This window comes from Homo sapiens, chromosome 4, assembly GCF_000001405.40.
Source record: "Homo sapiens chromosome 4, GRCh38.p14 Primary Assembly".
NCBI classification, from domain to species: Eukaryota; Metazoa; Chordata; class Mammalia; order Primates; family Hominidae; genus Homo; species Homo sapiens.
This window is the reverse complement of record NC_000004.12, coordinates 6,529,910-6,551,377: the sequence shown is the minus strand read 5'-3', so window position 1 is coordinate 6,551,377 and position 21,468 is coordinate 6,529,910. Positions and strand designations below refer to the sequence as shown.

General features: G+C 50.8%; 1 protein-coding gene across 3 annotated transcripts in view, besides 3 other annotated features; it reads left to right on the top strand.

The window, feature by feature from the left end:
- The window catches only part of PPP2R2C (protein phosphatase 2 regulatory subunit Bgamma), a 243,219-nt gene that overhangs the window by 12,422 nt on the left and 209,329 nt on the right, over positions 1–21,468 (top strand). For 2 of the 3 annotated variants that reach the window (NM_001206994.2, NM_001206995.2), the window contains exon 2: positions 16,001–16,107. The exons of the other annotated variant lie outside the window; for it this stretch is intronic. In NM_001206994.2, the coding sequence (NP_001193923.1) occupies positions 16,059–16,107 (49 nt within the window). In that variant the 5' untranslated portion in view covers positions 16,001–16,058. The remainder of the gene's footprint in view (positions 1–16,000; positions 16,108–21,468) is intronic. 3 annotated transcript variants of the gene reach the window in all.
- Positions 648–1,148: an enhancer, noted in NCBI's record as "H3K4me1 hESC enhancer chr4:6551957-6552457 (GRCh37/hg19 assembly coordinates)". NCBI's record gives its function as "activates a minimal SCP1, AML or CMV promoter by ChIP-STARR-seq in primed H9 embryonic stem cells {active_cell/tissue: H9 hESC(primed)}" and the evidence as "EXISTENCE:reporter gene assay evidence [ECO:0000049][PMID:30033119]".
- Positions 1,149–1,649: an enhancer, noted in NCBI's record as "H3K4me1 hESC enhancer chr4:6551456-6551956 (GRCh37/hg19 assembly coordinates)". NCBI's record gives its function as "activates a minimal SCP1, AML or CMV promoter by ChIP-STARR-seq in primed H9 embryonic stem cells {active_cell/tissue: H9 hESC(primed)}" and the evidence as "EXISTENCE:reporter gene assay evidence [ECO:0000049][PMID:30033119]".
- Positions 4,640–4,689: a silencer, noted in NCBI's record as "silent region_15231". NCBI's record gives its function as "represses an Ori minimal core promoter by ATAC-STARR-seq in GM12878 lymphoblastoid cells {active_cell/tissue: GM12878}" and the evidence as "EXISTENCE:reporter gene assay evidence [ECO:0000049][PMID:35858748]".

Genomic DNA, 21,468 nt, shown 5'->3' with positions numbered 1-21,468 from the left:
GGCTTTGTTCTCCATGCCACGTGTTTGTTCATTCATTCTACAAATATCACCTGAGCACCCACTGCAGGCTGTGGTCTGTGCTGGAAACCCAGAGAGCACATTAGGAGCATGTGACATACATGAGCACTCGTGACTTGCCAGGGGCTTTCTAAGTGCCTTCTGAGGCCAAGTAGCCTCCAATCCCCCTGGAAGGCAGGTATGTTTCTTATCCCCAGCTTACACATGTGGATACTGCAGCACAAAAGGGGAAGAGGCTCACCTGTGGCTGCTGAGCTAACCTGTGGGAGAGTGGGCTTTGAGCTCGGGCAACCTAACTGGAGAGGCTTGTGCATAACCACCAGGCTCCATGGCCCCGGAGGCGAGGAAGGTATGGCAATTGACCTCCAGGAGGACTCTCTTTCTAGAGAGAGACCAAAACAAAAGTGTTGCTCTAGCTGGGCACTGTGGCTCATGCCTGTAACCCCAGCACTTTGGGATGCTGAGGTGGGAGGATCACTTGAGGTGAGTAATTCAAGATCAGCCTGGGCAACAGTGAGCCCTTATCTCTATAAAATATTAAAGAAAATTAGCTGGGCATGGTGGCCTGCACCTGTAGTCCCAGCTACTTAGGAGGCTAAGGCAGAAGTATCCATTGAGCTCAGGAATTTGAGGCTGCAGTGAGCTGTGATAGTGCCAGATGTGGAGCTGTACTCCAGCCTGGGGAACAAACAAGCAAGACTCCATCTCTAAATAAAAAAGAGTGTCCCCCTAAGATGCTCTGCGAAATATTGTAGACTGGTTGCCCTGGAGCCTCATGCAGGGAGTGAGGAGGGGCCAGGTCTGTCTGTGCTTCCCAGAGTAGAAGATATTAAGCTAGAAGAATGAGGGGAAAGCATTCCCGGCAGAGGAAACAGCACGTGTTTCGGGTTGGCGTTGTAGGAGTGCATGGCTTGTTAGTGAAGGGTGAAGTTCTGTGCAGCTGGGCGTAGCCTTCCCGGGAGGAAGCAGTGAGAGCTGAGGCTGCAGAGGGTAGTGGGGGTGTCTTGGCAAGGGTCTCATGTGCTGGCCTGAGGGCACTGTGGGGAGGGGGCAGACTTGGTAACTGGGCTGGGGGCTGATTGTGTCTGTGCTTTGGGATGTGCCGGCTGGTGGCTGTGAGGAGGGGAACAGGAAGCTTGGAGGTGGAGAAGGTGGGTTGTCATCCATCTCATTCCACCAGTGGGGGACGGGGAGGCTCAGAGAGGCTGAGTGACTCACTCAAGGTCATGCAGGCAGTGAGCATGGAGGTGAGACTGGGGCCCAGGCCCGTGGGATGAGCCATTGGCTGTCCCCCTACCCCGCTGTGACCTCAGCTGCACCTCGTGCTGCGGTGACAAGGTGACAGGTTAAAAATAAAGCACTGTGGTGCTGCCAGACCTTTATTGGCACAGGGTGAGGGCTGGTTATGTCACTTTAAAGAAATACTTCTCTGCAAGCATCAGTTGAGCATGTTTCTCCCCAGATATTCACCTGGGAACTGAGTCTCGAGAAATAACGTTCGTTACAGCTGCTGTCCCATAAGGACTGTCAGGGCAGGCTCAATAGTGGCCACCACTGAATAAGTGCCTACTGTGTGCCAGGCCCTACGTGGGAAAGTAGCTCATACCTTAAAGCTCATCCGTGGGCTCCAGCTACTGCCCGTGCTGCAGGTGCCTCCCGTTATCCTCCCTAGGGATGAGGAGGGGTTACGTGAGGTCACACAGCCAGCAGGTGTCATCAGAGCCCACTGCTCTCAGGGCTGCAAACCTGTGGCCACTCTACAGGAGCAGGAAGGAGCCGGTGTTATCAGTCTGGCTCTGCAGGTGGAGAAGTGGAGGGTCGTGCCCAGGAAGGCACAGGTGAGGGGCATTTCACTCCTGAGGGCCTCACCTTCTGTGATTCTGCCTGGGACTCCCTTCCCTGTATCTTTGTCATTATTCAGGTCCCAGCTGAAAAGTCACCTCCTCCGGGAGGCCTCCCCGGACCACCCTCCATCTGGAGTTGTCTGTCACTGGATCCAGGTGCAAAGCTCTGGAATGAAATGAGCCTGGCGTGTTCTGTGGCAGCAAGGAGGCTGGTGTGGCCAAAGCAGAGAGTGGGAAGGGTGGGGGTGGAGGTGGAAAAACGACGTGGTCCAATTTCCATTTTTACAGCGTCAGTCTGCCTGCTGTATGGGGCATGGACTTTGTGGGGGGCAAAGTGAGAACCAGGGGATGACTTTGGAGGCTACTGCAGTGTAGGAGTGAGCAATGATGGTGGCTTAGACCAGTGGCTTAGCTCCAGAGGTCTGGACAGGATTAACCAATTTATTCAACAGATATTTACCAGACACCTTGCACGTGGGAGGAACTGAGCCAATGGGGGATCTGTCAGTGAAGGGACAAACACATAAACATTCAAGAGCATGTTGGGGTGACAGTACTGCTAAGAGGGAAGGCGGGGAGAGGGCTGCCAAGGGACGGGCACTGTTCATTTAGGGAGGTGGGCAGAAGGAGGTGCGAGGCTCAGATCCCCCTTCAAGAAAGACTTTGCTGTCCAGCCTCAGGGCAGGCAGTCGCTTGACTGCCTCTGGATTTTGGCATCTTCAGGATCTGCCTCTCCCACTGAACCAAGGCTGTTCTTTCTGGCAGCCCTCAGCCAATGACTGCCCCCTGGAGGGATTTCTAGGGCCTGCCCATTTCTGCACACACCAGGACTCTGGCAGGCAGCCTTTGCCCTGGAGCTTGCTGTCGGTTGGCTGAGAGGGTCAGTCACACTTGCATGGCTGTCGGGAAGCTCTACCTGCCCACACTGGCTCTTCTACCTTTTACCTTTAACAAGTGTGACCTCCCAATAAACCTCTTCACTCCTAACTGACTCAGCATCCAAATACAGGGCTGTTTTCAGGAGTCGCTGTGCTGTCTTTGCATCCACAGATGTCACGCACAAGGGTTCCAGGCGCTCTGCACCCTCATCAGCCCTTGTGTCTGTGCTTTGGGATGTGCCGGCTGGTGGCTGTGAGGATGGGAGCAGGAAGCTTGGAGGTGGAGAAGGTGGGTTGTCATCCATCTCATTCCACCAGTGGGGGACCGGGAGGCTCAGAGAGGCTGAGTGTTAGCCATCCTAACAGGTGTGGTTGTGCCCCATTATGACTTCTTCTTCTTCTTCTTCTTCTTTTTCTTTTAAGACAGAGTCTCACTCTGTTGCCCCGGCTGGAGTGCAGTGGCATGATCTTGGCTCACTGCAGCCCCTGCCTCCCGGGTTCAAGCAGTTCTCCTGCCTCAGCCTCCGGAGTAGCTGGGATTACAGGTGCCCACCACCATGCCTGGTTAATTTTTGTATTTTTAATAGAGATGGGGTTTCACCACGTTGGCCAGGCTGGTCTCGAACTCCTGACCTCAAGTGATCTGCCTGCCTTGGCCTCCCAAAGTGCTGGGATTACAGGTGTGAGCTACCGTGCCTGGCCCCATTATGATTTTAATTTGTAATTCCCCCATGGTTAAAAATGTTGAGCATCTTTTTATGTGCTTATCTGAGACTTTTAAAAGTCTCATGGTTTTAGGCTTCACATGTAGGTGTGTGATCTGTTTTGAACCAATTTTTCTCTGAGATGAGAGGCCTGTGTCCCGTTGCGTTTTTGCATATGGATGTCCGGTTGTTTCAGCACCACTAGCTGAAAGATCACCCTTTGCACCTGCCCCAGGCCCATTGCAGACGCTGGGTCCTTTATCCTGTAGGAGGTCCTGCCTTCTGGGTGTATCTATGGCTTCCCTGTGGTGTCCCTGGGCACTTCTCTCCTGCCCCTCTATTTTCATAATCAGAAATCCGCAGAGCGTTTATTAGATTGAGCCTCAGGCCTGTTTTTCTTGGCAGGAATGCTTGGTTATTGGTGAGGTGGGCTTCCCAGTGCATCCCGCCAGAAGGCACCCAGTGTCCAGTGTTCCCACGGGTACTGGAGCACAGGGTGACCAGTGAGGTCGAGGGCGAGAATCTGCTATTTCCTTGGTTAGCTTCCTTATCATACCTTCTTATGGTTTCACCGAGACACTCAGGAAAGTTAGATTAGGGACTCTACTAGATGATTCCAAGAAGCTATTGTTGCTTTGTTAGGTGTGATAATGGCATTTTGGTTATGTAAGGAAGTGCCCATATTTTTAGAGATGCATGCTGAAGTGTAAGGGCGTGATTTTACTTTAAAATCTCCAGTGAAGAAAAAATAGGCAAGAGAAAAAAAAGGGAGAGATGAAGCAAGTGTGGCAAAATCTTGATAATCGCCGAATCTGAGTGACTGCATGTTTTGAAGATGAGTAAATGTTTTCAGAGGCCGAGGTCTGGCTTGCACAAGTTTCCCCCAAATGCTCCCCCAACCCCAGGTTATCAGGTGAATGTGAGCCGCTGGGAGCATTTAGAGGCTGTCTGCTACCTGTGCTTGGGGGCCGTTAGCTGTTGCTCTTCTTCCCGTCTCTCTTTCCTCCCCTCTTTCCTTTTCTCCCCTCTTCCATCTTTTGTCCCCACCCTTTTCCAAAGATTCCGGGCTGACCCTCGGCAGAGCCCCCGCTTCACGGCCTGCCCTTTTTCATAAGGACCACCAGAGGGCGCCATGATTTAAGTCTGTCGCTGTTCTTGGTGCTGAAATTCTGACAGCGGGTGGAGCACATGATGGGCCCGGGAGCTCCTGAGGGCTTCAGCCCTGTTTTCTGTTCCTTTGAAAACGAACACACCTTTGGGTCTAAGAAATATACTGTTTTATATTCCCAATATGTGGTCCCCAACCTTTGCATCCCTGAGGTTGGAAAGAGAAGGGACGGCTGAGATGCTTAGTGAAGGGTGCAGGCCTGAGAAGGCTTTGTCAGAATCTACCACTCACCAGCTGTGTGGCCCTGGGCTAGTCATTGCACATCCCTGAGCCTTGATTTTTTCTCATCTGTTAAGTGGGAATGATAACCACAGCTCCTTTAAGAAGTTATTGTGAGGATTAATGAGATGCTGCAGATTTTAGTAATCTCAAGATACTATTATTCCTATTGCTATGACCACTACTAATACTTTTTTTAAAGCACATGCTGTGTGTCAACGGCCCCTCCAGTGCACCCCCTCCCAGGTGTGAAGTCAGGAGATGTGATGTCCAACTCAACCCTGCCTTGCCCGTGATCACCGGTTTGACTCTGGCTGTACTGCAGCCACACTTGAAACCTTTTGCCTTCCTCTTATGGAAGATCCTGACCATAAACCTGACCTTGCAGAGTTCCCATGGATATGTCTCCAAAGCTCTGAATACAGTGGCCAGTGCACCATTGATGCTAAGTCAGCGACAGCTGCTATTATCGTTCTCAGGGCCCTTCTCGTTTAGCCACGTGTTGATTCTGTGCTTTGTGGGTCCCAATAACTCCATCTCTCCATGCTTCTCTGGAAACTGCCCCACGCAACCCCCCCACCCCCCACCCAGGGAACTGTGGTGCTGGGGCATTGCCTTCCATAGCTTTCTACCTCTATTCCCACAACCCTTTGTAGCTAAATCAACAGTAGATGTTGGTCAGCGAAATACTGATTTTGCTACAATATCTTGCTTGAATCCATGTGATGGCCCTAAGAGAGAAGCAAACGTTGCCTTACTGTGTTTACCTTACAGCTGAAGAAACTGAGGCCCTGAAGAATGAAACTGCCCACCCGAGGTGCCCCAGCTAACAAGAGTCAGGCAGGGAATTGGGGATTCTTAGAAAAAGAGGGTTGCTCAGAGATTCTATAGGAGAAACTGATGTCAGAGAGGTGCAGCCACTGGTTCAGAATGGCTGAGTGCATTCATGTCTGAGCTGGGATGGGAACCAGGCCCCCTGACCTTGTCCCAGAGCCTCTTCCTTGGTGTCTGGTTCTCTGCCTTGAGCCTCATGGGTATCATGGAAAAGAGACTTATGTAAAAGAAACATGCCTGGCTTTATGACACCTGAGACTTAAGACAGTAATTTTTGGTGATTAGTCTTCTGGCATACCTGGTCCCTCATGGCCTGCACCTTTTAGGCATTTGATTTTGTACTCACTTGTGACTCTAAAGCACCTTGTTAGTGGAGGTAAATTAACTTATTGATTTTGAGCTCCACTGCTACTATGATAAATTATAACACGATTTCAGTCATTTTGTTGTTTACTTAGGCAGTTGTTGAAATACTGGTGCGTTGGTAGAACTTCTGAAATGAATTTTTAACAAATCCCTAAAAACTATGTGAGCTTTTCCAAAATGTCTGGAGGAGGCAATAGGCCTGACTTTTTCATTAATAACGTATCTCCTGGTGCTGGTATGGTGAGGGTGAGCCCGGGAGAGCCCCAGGCTGTGGGGACCCCTTTGAGAACCGGCCTGGCATTAGGCAGCAGGCACTGGAAAAAGTCGTCATCCTTCCTGACACTGCATTTACACTCTTGGGGATTTATCCTGAGGAAATTATAAAAAAAAATTTAAGAAATCTCCTTCTGCCTAAATTCACTGAAGAATTATTTGACAGTAGGAGCAACACAAAATAAACCTGGAATCAACCTCACTGTGCAGTGACAGGGACATTGTTTTCCAATTGTAGCATTGGTTTGCTTCTGGGAGTTTGTGCTAATTTGCTTCTTTGGGGCATCCACAGTTGCAGAGCACAGGGAGAAGGGTGTTAGCTGGCCAGCAGTTTCTATTTCAAGAGGAAGACTCTTGCTTATGCTTCTTCCTTTTCTGCCCGAGCACAGGGGGACACTTTGTGCAAATAATCACATACAATTTAGGAATGCTTTTGGAGCCGGGTGTGCTGGCTTATTCTTGTAATCCCAGCACGTTGGGAGGCTGAGGCAGGAGGATCACTTGAGGCCAGGAGTTAGAGACCAGCCTGGGCAACATAGTGAGATCCCGTCTCTTAAACAAAAATTAGCTGGGCATGGTGGCCCACACCTCTAATCCCAGCTACTCAGGAGGCTGAGTTGGGAGGATCACTTGAGCCCAGGAGTTTGGGGCTGCGGTGAGCCGTGATCATGCCACTGCACTCCAACCTGGGCAACAGAGCAAGACCCTGTCTCTAAAAATAAAAATAATAATGATAATAAACCAGGAAAGCATTCATCTACAAGTAGGAGGAAAATTGACTAGAGGGACTTCCGGTAGCTGGAACTGAAAGAGATAGGGCTGCAAAAACATTTTCACCGTAAAAGGCAAGGGGTCTGCCATCCAGAGCTCATGGCTTGGCTGGGTGAGGCCAACAGGAACCAGGCTCCACTGTCTTTCTGCTCTGCCAAGCTCAGCCTTGGACCAGACCCTCTTTCTTTGAGTCTGGTTCTTGTCCTTCAGTAAACAAATGGGGCCAGGGTGAGGATGGTTGGGGTAGGGGACACTGGGCTTCTTTTTCCCCTCCTTGTGGGCAGTCCACTCTGGGGACTTGAGCGTCTTCCATGGAAGGCAGATCCTTGGATGAGTGAAGGCTGCTGTGTTGACAGCTCAGCTCGGGGGCCGAAAGTCAGAGATGAGATTCCTCATGGGTGTTACGGAGAGCAGACCCACGTAAAAGAAACATGCTCGGCTTTACCACCCCCAGTACTGCTTGGGGCTGTATCTTAGGTGTGGGTTTCTTGCTCATGGTCATGAGGTGGCAACTGGATGTCCAGGCCTGGGATGTGAGGTCATAGGTAGCAGGACGGGCAGGGCAAGGGAGCCTGTTTCCTGGCACTCCGCGCTCACGCTTTATGTGACAAGCTGGGTGGCCCCTAGCTGCTTCTCCGTCTCCATGTCAGCCGCTTGGTTAAGCATGGTTCTCAGGGGTCCCTTGGCCAGCTGTCCTGCTAGCAGCTGACATCAGGGGAGAGGCCAGCTAATTTTTGTATTTTTAGTAGAGACGGGGTTTGGCCAGGTTGGTCAGGCTGGTCTCGAACTCCTGACCTCATGATCTGCCCACCTTGGCCTCCCAAAGTGCTGGGATTACAGGCATGAACCACCACGCCTGGCCTGGTATTTGTTGTTGTTTTTTTAACCATTGCCATTTTTTTTTGGTGACCATGTTCATTGGCTGCCCTGGTTGGCCCATAGGAGGCAGAGGCTGAGCTGGGTGGAATTCAGTGTGTGGGGTGTCGATTAGGACGTGCTCTTGGGGTCCATGCCTGATTGATGAGGGAAGGCAGCAGGATTGGGCAGAGGGAGAGCTGAGCCGAGTTGTAGTCCATTGACAGCTGTGGCTGACTGTGAGGAGCTCAGGGGCTGCGGTGGTGCATCCACGCCGTCCTGCCTTGGGCCCAGATGGCTGCTTCTTCACGCTTGCCCAGTCACAGGAGGCGATCCACCCTGCAGGTGTCTCCTGACAGCACCCCGCCTGCTGCGGCAAAGATCCCTCCTTGCGGGGCGTCTGGGTGGCCCCTCTCTGAGTCCACTCTGTTGGCCAAACATGCTTCTGTTCTTTGAAATGCAGGCCTCCCTGCTTTTTTTCCTGTTGGGTTGTCTTCCAAAAATTGATTACGACAATTTTGTCCTTCTAATATATTCTGCACATGAATCCTGAGTTCAAATGGGTTGTAAATATCTAAGGTTGTGGCTTTTTCACTTAAACTTTACAGTGGAAGCACAAAGTCTGGTTTTCTATTTCTTCTCGTGTCAGTGTTAGTGAGCTGTATTTTTCTAGAAATTTATCTGTTTCTTCTAAGTTTTCACAGTAATCTAGCATGATCTTTTTTTCTTTTTCTTTTTTTTTTTTGAGACAGAGTCTTGCTCTGTCACCCAAGGGGAGTTCAGTGGTGTGATCTTGGCTCACTGCAACCTTTGCCTCCCAGGTTCAAGCAATTCTCCCTGCCTCAGCCTCCCTAGTATCTGGGATTACAGGTGCCTGCCACCATGCCACCATGCCTGGCTAATTTTTTGTATTTTTAGTAGAGACAGGGTTTCGTCATGTTGGCCAGGCTGGTCTTGAACTCCTGACTTCAGGTGATTCGCCCACTTTGGCCTCCCACAGTGCTGGGATACAGGCGTGAGCCACCGCGCCCAACCATTCTCGCGTTATCTTTTAAATCTCTGTAATGTGTTCTGTCCTGTCAAATGCATTCTTCCTTAGTTAATGTTGTTGGAGGTTTGTTGACTTTATTAATCTTTTTGAAGATGATCATGAGGTTTGGGGGAGCATCCCCTAGGCATAGGACTGGCTTCTGCCTCCAGTGTGGCCTCTGTCTGCGGCATGCCTTGTTTAGTGCAGATCTCCAGGGGTTATTGTTGGGCGACCAGGGACAGTCACAGCACCTCTCTGGGCTTCAGTTTGTTCACATGGTGGCTGGGAGTGAGCGCACTGCTCCCTAAGCTCTGTAGAATGTCACTGTCCCTTTTGGAGGGTACTGTGGTCTTTCATTGTGATCACGAGTGCATTTGACTTAGCTCCTGGATAAAGGACAGGAATTTGTCATGAATCCCTTAAAGTACTTGGCAGCTTAGCCCATGCTAGGTCTTCGAGAAATATTTGTTAGATGACGGAACCTATGCAGCGAGGGAATCAGTAGCTCAGTCAGCAATTTCCTGCCTTCTCAGGGATTCCACTTGGTTCCCCTCCTCCCTTTTTTTAAAGTTAGAAAATGACTCACATGGCTGGGCACAGTGGCTCACACCTGTAATCCCAGCCCTTTGGGAGGCCAAGGTGGGTGGATCACTTGAGGCTAGGAGTTTGAGACCAGCCTGGCCAACTCTACTAAAAATACAAAAATTAGCTGAGCGTGATGGCAGGTGTCTGTAATCCCAGCTACTCTGGAGGCTGAGGCAGGAGGATTGCTTGACCTGGGAGGCAGAGGTTGCAGTGAGCTGAGATCGCGCCACTGCACTCCAGCCTGGGTGACAGAGTGGGACTCTGTCTCACCAAACAAACAAACAAACGAAACAACTCATGATCCCCTGCGAGGGTCTGGTCTGGTCAGGGCAGGGTTTTTGAGGATCTGACCACTCTGTCCACCTCTGCTCCAGCGCTCCTGTGTGACAGGGAACCTATGTGGTGGACAGCAGGCAGAGAGAAACAGATATTAATTAATTAATTAATTAATTAATCTTGACCTGTATTCTAGTAACTCCCAAATGCTGCAACCCTCAGGTGGCAGCTATTTTGGAGAATGGAGGATAGGACAGTGCTGGTTGTCTTCCCAATATCCATTCTTCCTGGATTTCTGGCTAACAGCCCTGACTTAAATCAGGGGGCTGTGTGTCCAGCTGAAATTCATATTCCCAGGTCTGTAATTCAGCAGAGGTGGCCATGGGACCCTGTTCTAACCAATGGGACATAAGCTGAGATCACTGGGTGGGGCTTTTGGGAAAGATCCTCCACAGAGAATGACTCAGCTGGCCCCTGCCCTTTCCCTTGTTTTCTTCTTGTCTGGAATGTGATGGCTGGAGCAATGGCAGCCATTTTGTAATCATGAAGTGACTTGAGGACACCATATGCTATGGATGGAGAAGCAGATAGACAGAAGGGATCTGGAGCCTTAACCACAACACAGAGTTCTGCTCCAGTGCTGGATTGCTGGCCTCTGGCTTTATTTTATAAAAGAGAAAAACCCTACATTTCTTCCTAGCTTTCTAACACAGCTCCTAACTGATACAGGCTGGGAAGCCCAAATGGAGATTTTTGCTTTCTTCCCATGTATCCCCATCAGTCTCTCCCTGATGCACAAGGAAAGACCATTCTGAGCACACCCATCTTCATGCAGAAACCACATGTGTGGAGCCCTTATGCACTGTGGTGGGAACGTGAAATGGTGTAGCCACTTTGGGAAGTAGTTTGGCAGTTCCTCAAAAGGTTAAACATAGATTTATCTCATGACCCAGCAATTCTACTCCTAGGCATCTACCAAAGAGAATTGAAGACATCCATCCATACAAAAAGTTGCACATGAATGTTCATAGTGGCACTATTCATAGTAGCCAAAAATGAAAACAACCCAAATGTCCATCAACTGATGAATGGGTAAACAAAATATGGTCTATCCATACAGTGGAGTATTATACAGCCCTAAAAAGGAAGGAAGCCCTGCCACACGCTACAACATCAATGAACCTTGAACACATCATGTTAAGATCATGTTAAGTGAAAGAAGCCAGACACAAAAGACCACATAGTGTATGATTCCATTTATAGGAGATGTTCATAATCAGAAAATTCATAGAGACAAAAAGCAGATTAGTGGTTACCAGGGGCTAGGGGCTTGGGGAATGACCATTAATGAACATGTGGTTTCTTTTTGGGGTGATGAAATGTTTTAAAAGTAAATCATGGTGAGGGCTGCACAGCTCTGTGAATACACTAAAACTACTGAATTGTACACTTTATAAAAGTAAAGTGTGTGGTATATGGCTTATGCCTCAATAAAGCTGTGATTAAAGACTGCATATGCTTTAAAGTGAGAAGCTTGGTGTCATTGGAGCCAGGCGACAGAGTAGGGCAGGGCTAACTGCAGGGTCCTCACGGGCCTGGGGCAGGTGGCCACGTGGCCAGTTTCTGCCTTCTCTAGTGGAATAGGGTGGTGTGGTGGTTAGGACCCAGACCCCTCTACCCACACAGCTGCACGGGCTTGGGGAGATCTAGTTTCTGTGCCTCAGGGGCCTCACTTGTCGTATGGGGAGACTCCTGTATCGCCCGCAAGGTTGTGGTGAGGCTGAGCGAGGGTAATCGGGAATGCCTAGTGCAGCTTCCGCCTGCAGGGACACTCAGCAAACCCCAGATCTGATTCTTCCATTTCCCCACGCACTTGCCACCCTTGACCACTGCCTGGTCGGCAGGCGCTTCTGTAGTCTGGGCTTGAGAAGAACTTTCAGAATGGTAGATTTTTTATCCTTTATTTTTTGAAGGGGAGAAGGAAAGCAGTGGCAGGAATCGTCCTCTGTGATGTTACAACATATTATAAAGCTCAGTCATTGAAATAGTCTGGAAGTTACACTAGACTTGGGAGAGAGACCGGTGAAGCGTGACACAATACATGTGTGAGTGCCCTGTGGCCGCCAGAGCAAAGTCCACAGACTGGCTGGTTTAAGACAACAGAAACGTATTGTCCCCAGTTCTGGAGGCTAGAAGTCCAAGGTCACAGTGTGGGCAGGGCTGGTGCCCTCTGAGGGTTATGGGGGGAATCTGTCCCAGCCTCTTCTCCTGGCTTCTGGTGTTTTGCCCACAACCTGTGCCACTCCCTGGCTTGTGGAAGCCTCATCCCAACCTCCACCTCCATCCTCACACGGCACTCTCCCTATGTGTGTGTGTCTGTGTGTCCAAATTTCCGCCCTCTCTCTCTTTTTTTTTTTTGGAAGGACATCAGGCATATTGGATTAGGGACTCAGCTTAATGACGCCATCTCAATGCATTTCATCTGCAACTACCCTATTTCCAAATAAGATCACATCCTGAGGTTCTAGGGGTGAAGACTGCAGCATGCAGATTTTAGGGGGAAGCAATCTAGCCCTTCCTGGTGGAAAGTCAGAAGCAGGTTTGAGCTGTATAATAAATCACTCACTGTGTAACGGGCTCGATATTTGTGGAGCACCTGCTCTGAGCAGGTACCGGGAAACAGCAGTGATACACCGACAAGGTCCCCGCCCACGAGTAGCTCAAGCAGCAGGGCCGGGAGGACATTTCATGACGGTGCGGGGGAGCGGCCAGCTCCACGCGTCTGCTGCCTTTGTAACGAGAACAAGTTAGAGGGACAGACTGCATTGGCGGCCGGCTCTTTCGTGAACGTAGCACGTGGTGTGGGTGGTGCAACCGCTCCAAGCCTGAACCCTGAGCCCCTTTGGCCAAGGGAACATCTGCTGCCACGGTGGATGACTTGAGGTTTTATTGTATAATTTCATTTGCCGTGTTATTGGCGTTTGGAAGATGACGTGACCTCATCTCATTTTCCTTTGCCTAGTGAAAATAGCAGGGGATTGATTTTGTTCCCTTCCCACCATTGGGTGTGTTCAGCACCATCAACACAGATTGTTAAATCATCCTTGTATGTTTCCGTTTTGCTCTGAAACGCTTGCGTCGCTGGGGACGATGAACTTGGCTCAATGCACCTGTGTGTCGGTGGAACTTGGCAGATGGGCGGCGGGCACCTCTCCATGCCGATATCTGTACCCCGAGGAAGCGTCCGTGGGGTGGGGTAAAGAGCCAGGAAGAGGGGAATCTGGGTTTGATTCCCAAATCTGACGCCCCAGCTGTGGGACCTGAGACAAGTCATTCAACTTGTAGGGGTGCCCGCCTCAGTGGGCCGTTGGGAAGATTAAATGGAATGATGAATGCAGAACTTTTTTTTTGGATTGTTTTTAATGTGGTAAAATATACATAACATAAAACTAATCATTTTAAGCATTTTCAGTGTCTAATTCAGTAGCATCCGGTACATTCCTATTGTCGTGCAACCATCTCCACGACCCATCGCCGGAGCTTTTTCTTTGTACCCATTAACACCAACTCTCCATAACCCCAGCCCTGGTAACCCCTATTCTGCTTCCTGTCTCTATGAATTTGACTCCTCCAGGACTTCATATAAGTGGAATCACACAGTATTTGTCCTTTTGCGACTGGTTTATTTTATTTAGCATAATATCTTTGGCCGGGCGTGGTGGCTCACACCTGTAATCCCAGCACTTTGGGAGGCCGAGGCAGGTGGATCACGAGGTCAGGAGACCGAGACCATCCTGGCTAACATAGTGAAACCCCGTCTCTTCTAAAAATACAAAAAATTAGCCAGGTGTGGTGGCAGGCACCTGTAGTTCCAGCTACTCGGAAGGCTGAGGCAGGAGAATGGTGTGAACCTGGGAGGCGGAGCTTACAGTGAGCCGAGATGGCACCACTGCACTCCAGCCTGGGTGAAAGAGCAAGACTCCATCTCCAAAAAAAAAAAAAAAACAAAAAATCTTCAAGTTCGTCTACATTGTAGCATGTGTCAGAATTTTATTCTTTTTTTCAGGCTGAATAATATTTATGGAAAGGGTTAATCTGTAAATTGCCATGCCACTAAAAACAAAGTTTTAGAAGGTGTGTAAAAATCAATGTTTGAACCAAACAGAAGAGGTGAACTGAAAGGCACACTCTCCTTTCCCTTCAACCCCAGAGCCATTCCCCATGTAATCGCCTGTGCATCCTCCAGACATTTCTCTGCACTGATGAGCATTTATGTGTGTGTCCTTTGTTTTTAGACCTCCATGCTATGAACCTTGATTTTTTCCCCTTTGATGTCATTCTTCCTTTTTTTTTTGAGATGGAGTCTCGCTCTGTCGCCCAGACTGGAGTGCACTGCAGCGATCTCGGCTCACTGTGACCTCCGCCTCCTGGGTTCAAGTGATTCTCTTGCCTCAGCCTCCCGAGTAGCTGGGACTACAGGTGCCCACCACCACGCCTGGCTAATTTTTGTATTTTCAGTAGAGACAGGGTTTCACCATGTTGGCCAGGCTGGTCTCGAACTCCTGACTTCAGGTGATCTGCCCACCTCAGCCTCCCAAAGTGCTGGGATTACAGGTGTGAGCCACCTCACCTGACCTGATATCTTTCCATATTGGCACACACACATAGAAATGCCTCATCCTGTTCAACAGTTGCTTAGCATCCACTGATAGATGGCCATGTCTTATTTCCCCAGGTCCATGCTGATGTCCATGTATGTCGTTTACCAATACTTGCCATTACAAACAACACTGGAAATGATTGTTCTTGACAGAAGAGTGAGATTTACACCTGAATCCCTAGCAGACAAGGGGCCTGTGCATTGAGAAGCCTCACATTGTCAAATTGTCCCCTGTGGAGCTGCCCCCTTCTCCACTGCACCCACCCTGCACAGGAGGGGCTTTCCCCACTGATAACACTCCTGCGGGGTATGGGCCACAGGGCCTTTTTTTGGTCACTGCCATATTTGAAAAGTGCTACGTTTCTGGTTTAATTCACATTCTTTTAAAATGATGAGTGGACACACCTTTTTTCACTTGCCTTTCTTCTTATGTGGATTAAATAATTATTTCTTTTTCTTTCTTCGTGTGTGTTTCTTTTTATGTGAATGACTGGTGAGTCTCCTTTTCTCACTTTTCTGCAGAGCTTTTCATCTTTGTCTTCTTGTTGATTTGTAAGAGTTCTTTACATAGTGAGGAAAGTGCACTGTGCATGCTAGTTGTTGAAATCTGTTCAACTCAGGGTCATCTCTAAACATCTTACCTTCTTTGAAGTTACCCATAAAACTTTGTGTGCCCCTGAAACAGCAATGTTTCCTTCCATAATCCCGGGTTTATAGTTCCTATCCTTCACCTTGAGGCTGAGAGGCTCTCCTTCAGTGTCTGTTGATAATTTACCTAACCCTCATCCCTTCCTCAGGCTACACAGAGTGAGGTGGGGAAAAGATGATGGTCAGATGCTAAGGAAGGAGCTGGAAAGAAGCTGTCAGGGGTGGGGGTGGTGCGGGACTAACACTGTGATAAAGGCAGCCAAGCAACCTCAAGGTAAGTATTAGTTCAGTGGACTGCAGCGTGGGGTGTTGTCCCTGCCACAGGGCATCAGGGAAGGCTTCCTGGAGGTGGCGACAGTTCAGCTGAGCCACAGTGGGACCTCAGTGGCCATGTGCTCTCATCCGCAGGCTCAGAAGTTGGCCAGGAAAAGCTGTCCCTGTGCCTGAGTGGGCTGTGGGCCTGTATGGGGTGGGGCGGGGCTTCTAGTTCCATGTTTTTAAGCGGGAGTGACCTGGAGTCCCTAGTGAGGGATTTCGTAGGCTGTGGGGAAATAGCTGCTGCGGGGTGAAGTTTGAAGACAAACGACAGACGGGAGATGGGGAGGAGTAACCCCATTTGGGGCCAAAATAGCCCGAGGGGAAGGTGGTGTGTCGTCCCCATTTCACAGATTTGGAAGCTGAGGCTCAGGCGGCTCCTGCAGCCGGGAGGAGGGAGGCATTTCCAACCCTGGCCCAGGGCTGGCTGGAGCTGTGCCGGGCGGCGGCCAGGGCGGCCGTGGGTGGCGGTGCTCGCGTTGCATGTGGTGTGTGGCGGCGTGCATGCACCAAGGCTCTTTGATTCCTCAACTTTAGTTTTTTTTTCTGATTATAGAAGTAAAATAGAAAGAAGACCTTTTTTGAAATGACCTGTGTTAGTCACCTCTCTCAGGATGCGTGAGGCGGACACGTTGAGGCCACCTCAGCTGATGGAAGTTTCCGGTAAGAAGCCCGTTCTCACAGCCGGGCAGCAGCGCCGGTGAGCTTGGGGACGTGGGCTGTGGGTCACAGGCGCCCGACACAGCGCCAGCCTGACAGCGGGAAGCCGACCCCACCGTGCTGGGATCCGGTCCCTCCCCTGCTCTGGCCCCTGGGCCCCCGACCCTGGCTCCTGCCGCCTGGGCCCTGGCCCCACCCCACCAGCCCCCATTGCCGCCCCTGTCTCCCAGGCCGATGGGTGAGGCCCCCTTCATGCGCCACCTCCTTGTGGACTGTGGCAGGGTCACTTTGTCAGGCAGCTGGGGCAGGAGCCAGGAGCGTTGTTTACTCACTGGGCCAACAGTGTTGAGTGCCCGCTGTGGCCAGCACTGGGCCGGCCCCTGGGGTCGCAGCAGTGGGCAAGCGGACAGTGACTCCTGAGGCTCACACTGAGCGGCCGACCCAGACAGACAGAGTCAGTCTGTTAACTAGACCCCGACTGGGGGCGAGTGCCATGAGAAATCCACCAGGGCAGCCATGCGGAGGCGGGGTTGTCACTGCGAAGTACAGGGTGCAGGAAGGCGCCCGAGGGAGTGTGCGGGCCGTGCGTGTTGGGGGGTGTGTGTTGGTGTGTATCTCTTTGGGGCTGTGTGTGTTGATATGTGTGTGTTCATGTATGTGTTGATGTGTGTGTTTAGGATGTGTGTGTTGTATGCGTTGATGTGTTTGTATGGTGGGGCATGTATGTTGGGGTGTGTGTATTGATGTGTTTATTGATGTATGTGTGCTGTATGTGTTGGTGTGACTGTTGGAGTATGTGTGTTAGGGTGTGTGTGTTGGTGTGTGTTTGTTGATATGTGTATGTGTTGGTGTGTGTGTTGTATGTGTTGTGTGTGTGTTGGTGTGTGTGTATGTTGGTGTGTGTTAGTGTACGTATTGATGTGTGGCATTGATGTGTGTTGATGTGTGTTTTTTGATGTGTGTATGTGTTGGGGTGTGTGTGTTGGGATATGTGTGTGTCTTGCTATGTGGTGTGCTTACTGTGTGTGTATGTGTGTTGGTGTGTGTTTGTTGATATGTGTATGTGTTGGTGTGTGTTGTATGTGTTGATGTGTGTGTTGATGTGTGTGTGTTGGTGTGTGTATGTTGGTGTGTGTGTTAGTGTATGTGTTGATGTGTATGTTGGTGTGTGTTTTAGTGTATGTGTTGATGTGTATGTTGGTGTGTGTGTGTTGATATGTGTGTTGGTGTGTGCTTGTTGACATGTGTGTGTTGGGGTGTGTGTATATTGGGGTGTGTGTGTGTTTGGGGTATGTGTATTGGGGTGTGTGTGTGTTGCTGTGTGGTGAGCTTATTGATGTGTATGTGTTTGTGTTGGGATATGTGTATGTTTTGTTGTATGTTGATGTGTGCGTGTATTGGGGGCGTGTTCACACATACCTTTTCACCGAGCAGCCTGCTATGTAACGGCCACCCGGGTCGACGGGCCTGTAGGTAGATCCTCATTTATTGAACCAATTTCCTGTGTTGGACATTAGAGTGTTTCCTGGTGTGCTCAGTTATAAATAACGTGCTGCCATCTTGGGTTTCTACCCTTACTTAAGGCACAAACAACATCTTCAGAGAGTCTTAAAGTCTGCAATCCTGCATTTGGACGGCAATGTCAACTGCAGACTTACGGTCCCCAGGCAGCCTTAAGCAGCTGTGCGTCATAGGCATTAACGACATAAAACAGTATGTTTCCTTAGGCCCAGTGCCGGCCATGGGGTGCTGAGCCCTGGATGGCTGGTATCGGGGCTGTGGGTACCAGGCCCTGGCACCCCACAGTTGTTCTGCCTGTGCTGGGGCACCTTTTGTTTGGGGCAGGAGGACAGGTCTTTGTGAGGAATTACAGAAGGGACTCTCTTCTCTGCTGGAGAAAGACCTTTGCTGTTTCATTTTACAGCCTTGTTTGAGGGAGGCTGGGAGGCTCTGCAGTTTAGAATCCTGTTCAAAGATTATGCTCATGGGCCTAAGAGGATTTGGCTGTGACCAACTTGTATTACATGGGCTGTTTGTTTTTACTCCTGCCATGTTCTCTTCTGGGTCTCGGGCATGTGTTCTTAGGATTACTTTCATTTACAGCCTGAGATGATTGTGAATTCTTCAATAGCATCCACCTTTTAGAAATAGGAAGCTTTCTAAAGTCACGTTTGCAAGCCCAGCCTTTCCGAATTCTGTGTCATTAACTCAAGACCAGAGCCGTCTCTCATCCCCCTGCTTACCCCTGCCTCCATGCACCATGCTGAGGGCAGAGCGTGGGCTTCACCGTGCTGTGTAAACTGTGAAGTGCAGTACCCCCTGTGTTGAGCTCGCCTCCCACTCTGTGAATAGAGCAGACAATGCTGGGGATGCGTCTCCCAGCCTCCCTTGCAGCTAGGGCACAGATACCTGGCCCCCCGGTGCTGCTGCCTTGGGACTTGACTCAGAATGTTGGCTGGCAATGTGAGGAACAGGGACCGGGGGCCATGTGGGTGATGGTGGTGGCAGCGGAGGAGGCAGCTGCAGTGATCCAGATGGCGGCTGCTGGGTTAATTTGGGAAGAACAGGTGCCTTCAGACACTGCTTCATCTTCTAAGCCAGGGGCTGGACACTGTGATCCTTGGACATTTCTGTTCCTTGTTTTTAATGCTTCTGGGAAGTGTCTTTATTTTGCCTTTTAAAAACGCAGAGTGGAATGTGCATTTAAGGGAAGGCAAATCCCGCTTTTCTAGTGGAAATGAGCCTGCGCCTCCCCAGACAGCTAGATCTGGAGATGCTGCTGCCCATGAGTTCTGCCCCTTTGTTTCTGTGTTTGGAAGGCCTGGCCCAAAATGGGGATTGGGGGTGCCCCAGTCTGGTCTGGGATGGGCAGGAATTATTTCCCAGCAAGGTCAAGGCTGCTCAACACTGTGAGAACCCTGGCCTGGGCATCAGGAAACATGGCTTCCTCTCCAGCTCTGACTTTGCTGGGCAACCCTGGACAAAGCCCTCACCCTCTCTGAGCCTTCACGGCCCCTTCTATGGACTGGGGATGATGATCATGACCAAGGCAGTCGTGAGGACCATAGATCGCACTTGCCATGGCCAGGCCATCTGTAAAGTGGAGTGTTCAGGTTAGAGAGGACAAGTTGGTGTTATTGGAGGGAACCTGTGGTGATGGGGGAGAGGGTGACCTGGTGACACAGCCCTTGATGGCTAAACCTTCCTGACAATGTCACAGGGCCAGCCTCCTGCCCTTTGCAAAGCACTGGATCCTCAAAGAATAATTTACACTCCAGAAAATGGAATCCATACTGGGTGGGTTCTATCACGTGTAGCCTTGGGGGATGAGACCTGGGAAGACCGATGTGAATACATGCAGGACGGGGCATCCGGTGTCTGCCAGCTGCCACCTGCTCCGGACCTGGGCCACCGGCTCTGCTGCCTCAGCCTCTTCACTTGCTCCATTTTAATCACAGCTCACTCATCAGCCTTCTTTGGAGAATGCTGGGGACTGAGTGGCAAGGTAGGGAGACTCCGGGCTTTACCTTAAGTGGACGTATGTTGGAACAGTAACTTCGCCCCCTAATAATGATAATAATAACAGCAACTGAGGAAGAGCTGGGGTTCACAGAGCACCTGCTCTGCAAACAGCCTGCAGGATCTTTCGGTGAAAGTTGTGAAACATGGACATTTAGGTGCTCCATAAGTGTTAGCCAAAAAAAAAAAAAAAGGAAAACGGGAAAGAAACACAGACATGATTCTGCTCATTCCCGCTTTGCTCCCTCAAGTCCCTTGGAGGGGCGTTATCTGGGCTACCAGGGACTGCTTGTTTCCTGGCGGTTGTAGCTGCCCTCTCCTGGACGCGCTTCCTTTTGGTTTGGGCACACTTGGTGGTCTTCCTGCACCTCGGCCTTTTGCTCTGGACAGATGGCCTTTGCTGTCACGGGTTGGCTCTGACGTCCTTTCCTCTGTGAGGGTGCACAGCACCCCTGGGCCCCTGCAGCCTGCCTCAGCCCCTCCTCACTGCCATCTGCACCCTCAGAACATGAGACTTGGTGGGTGCTTCCTCGAGGGACTGAGAGGCCTCGAAGGACACTGCCCTGGAGAGCGGTGCCGGCTGTCTCAGGGTGGGAAGCCTCCTTGGTGACACTGTGTGAATGGAACCCCACCCGCCCTTGCTGCCTTTGGTGCCACCAGGCACAGCTCCTGGCCCCAGGAGGGGTGATCTTTCTTGGGGATGCCAAGCTGGCTCTGTGGTCCCTGTCACTCAGAGCGGGCTCCTCCCCTCCACACACCCATTTTGAGACCCCAGAGCACAGTGATGCCGCAGCTGCACTTAACAAGCAGGAATGTGTCCCTCCTGTTGGTCAACATTTGGGGCCTCACTGTGACAGGTGCACAGCAGCCTGGTGGAGAACCACCCTATGCGCCTGTAGAAAGGGCCAGATGGCAGGAGCCACCTTGCGTTTTGCCTTGAGGTTTAGTTGGGATGGCCACTTACAGTGGTCGCAGCCACTGTTCTGAGAGCTTTGCATGTTCAGTGGGTACAAATCTCATGGTTGCCTAGGAGGTAGGGGATGGGGCAGTGTCCATTTGGCAGAAGAGGAACCTGAGGCTGAGAGAAGTTGATTCCCAAAAACACAGCCTGTTGTGGGGGGCCAGGGTCCCAGCCCAGCAGTCCAGCTCAGAGTCACACCCTGCTGTCATGTTGTTACCCGGACAGCGGGCAGGTTCAGTTGCGTGGTGGGTGACAGTCCAGCGACCACAGCCACGGAGGGCTTAACAAGGGGATTGTAGGACTTGCAGCAAGTAAGGAGGACACCAGGGATGGTCCCCAAAGCAGCGCCTCCCGGGCAGAGGGGATCCCAGGGTTTCACGGGGCTGCTGGGCTGAGCCATCTCATGGGGGGTTAAAGTCAGTGCAGGTGCGGTGGCGGATCACGCTTCTACATACGTCGCGTGCATGGAAAATGGCGGATAAGCTCCTCTCCTCCCTGGGTGGGGTTTTTAGGATGGGCTTGGACCTTTTCTGAAACAAGGAGAACTCAAGATGCAGTTACAAGTGGGTGCTTTTTCACGGTGTGTACCTCAAAACCCCAAACCCGGGACCCCGGCTTAAGACGTCATATTCCATGGGCGGTGCTAAGGGCAGAGCCTGGCCCAGAGTAAACCCTCGAGAATCGTTACTCTTGTTGCTTTCCTGGGGTTCCTGTAAAGCAGGCGTGGTGCCTTGTGGTTTGTGAATCTGTGTCCCTAAGACACACGCTGTGGTGAATGATTCTCTGGGACTCATCCAGCTGCTTCCCCCAGCACTGAGTGTGGCCTCACAGTGGGAATAGTGGGCTCCGTCACTCGTGCGCTCTAGCCTCTCCTCCCATTCGCT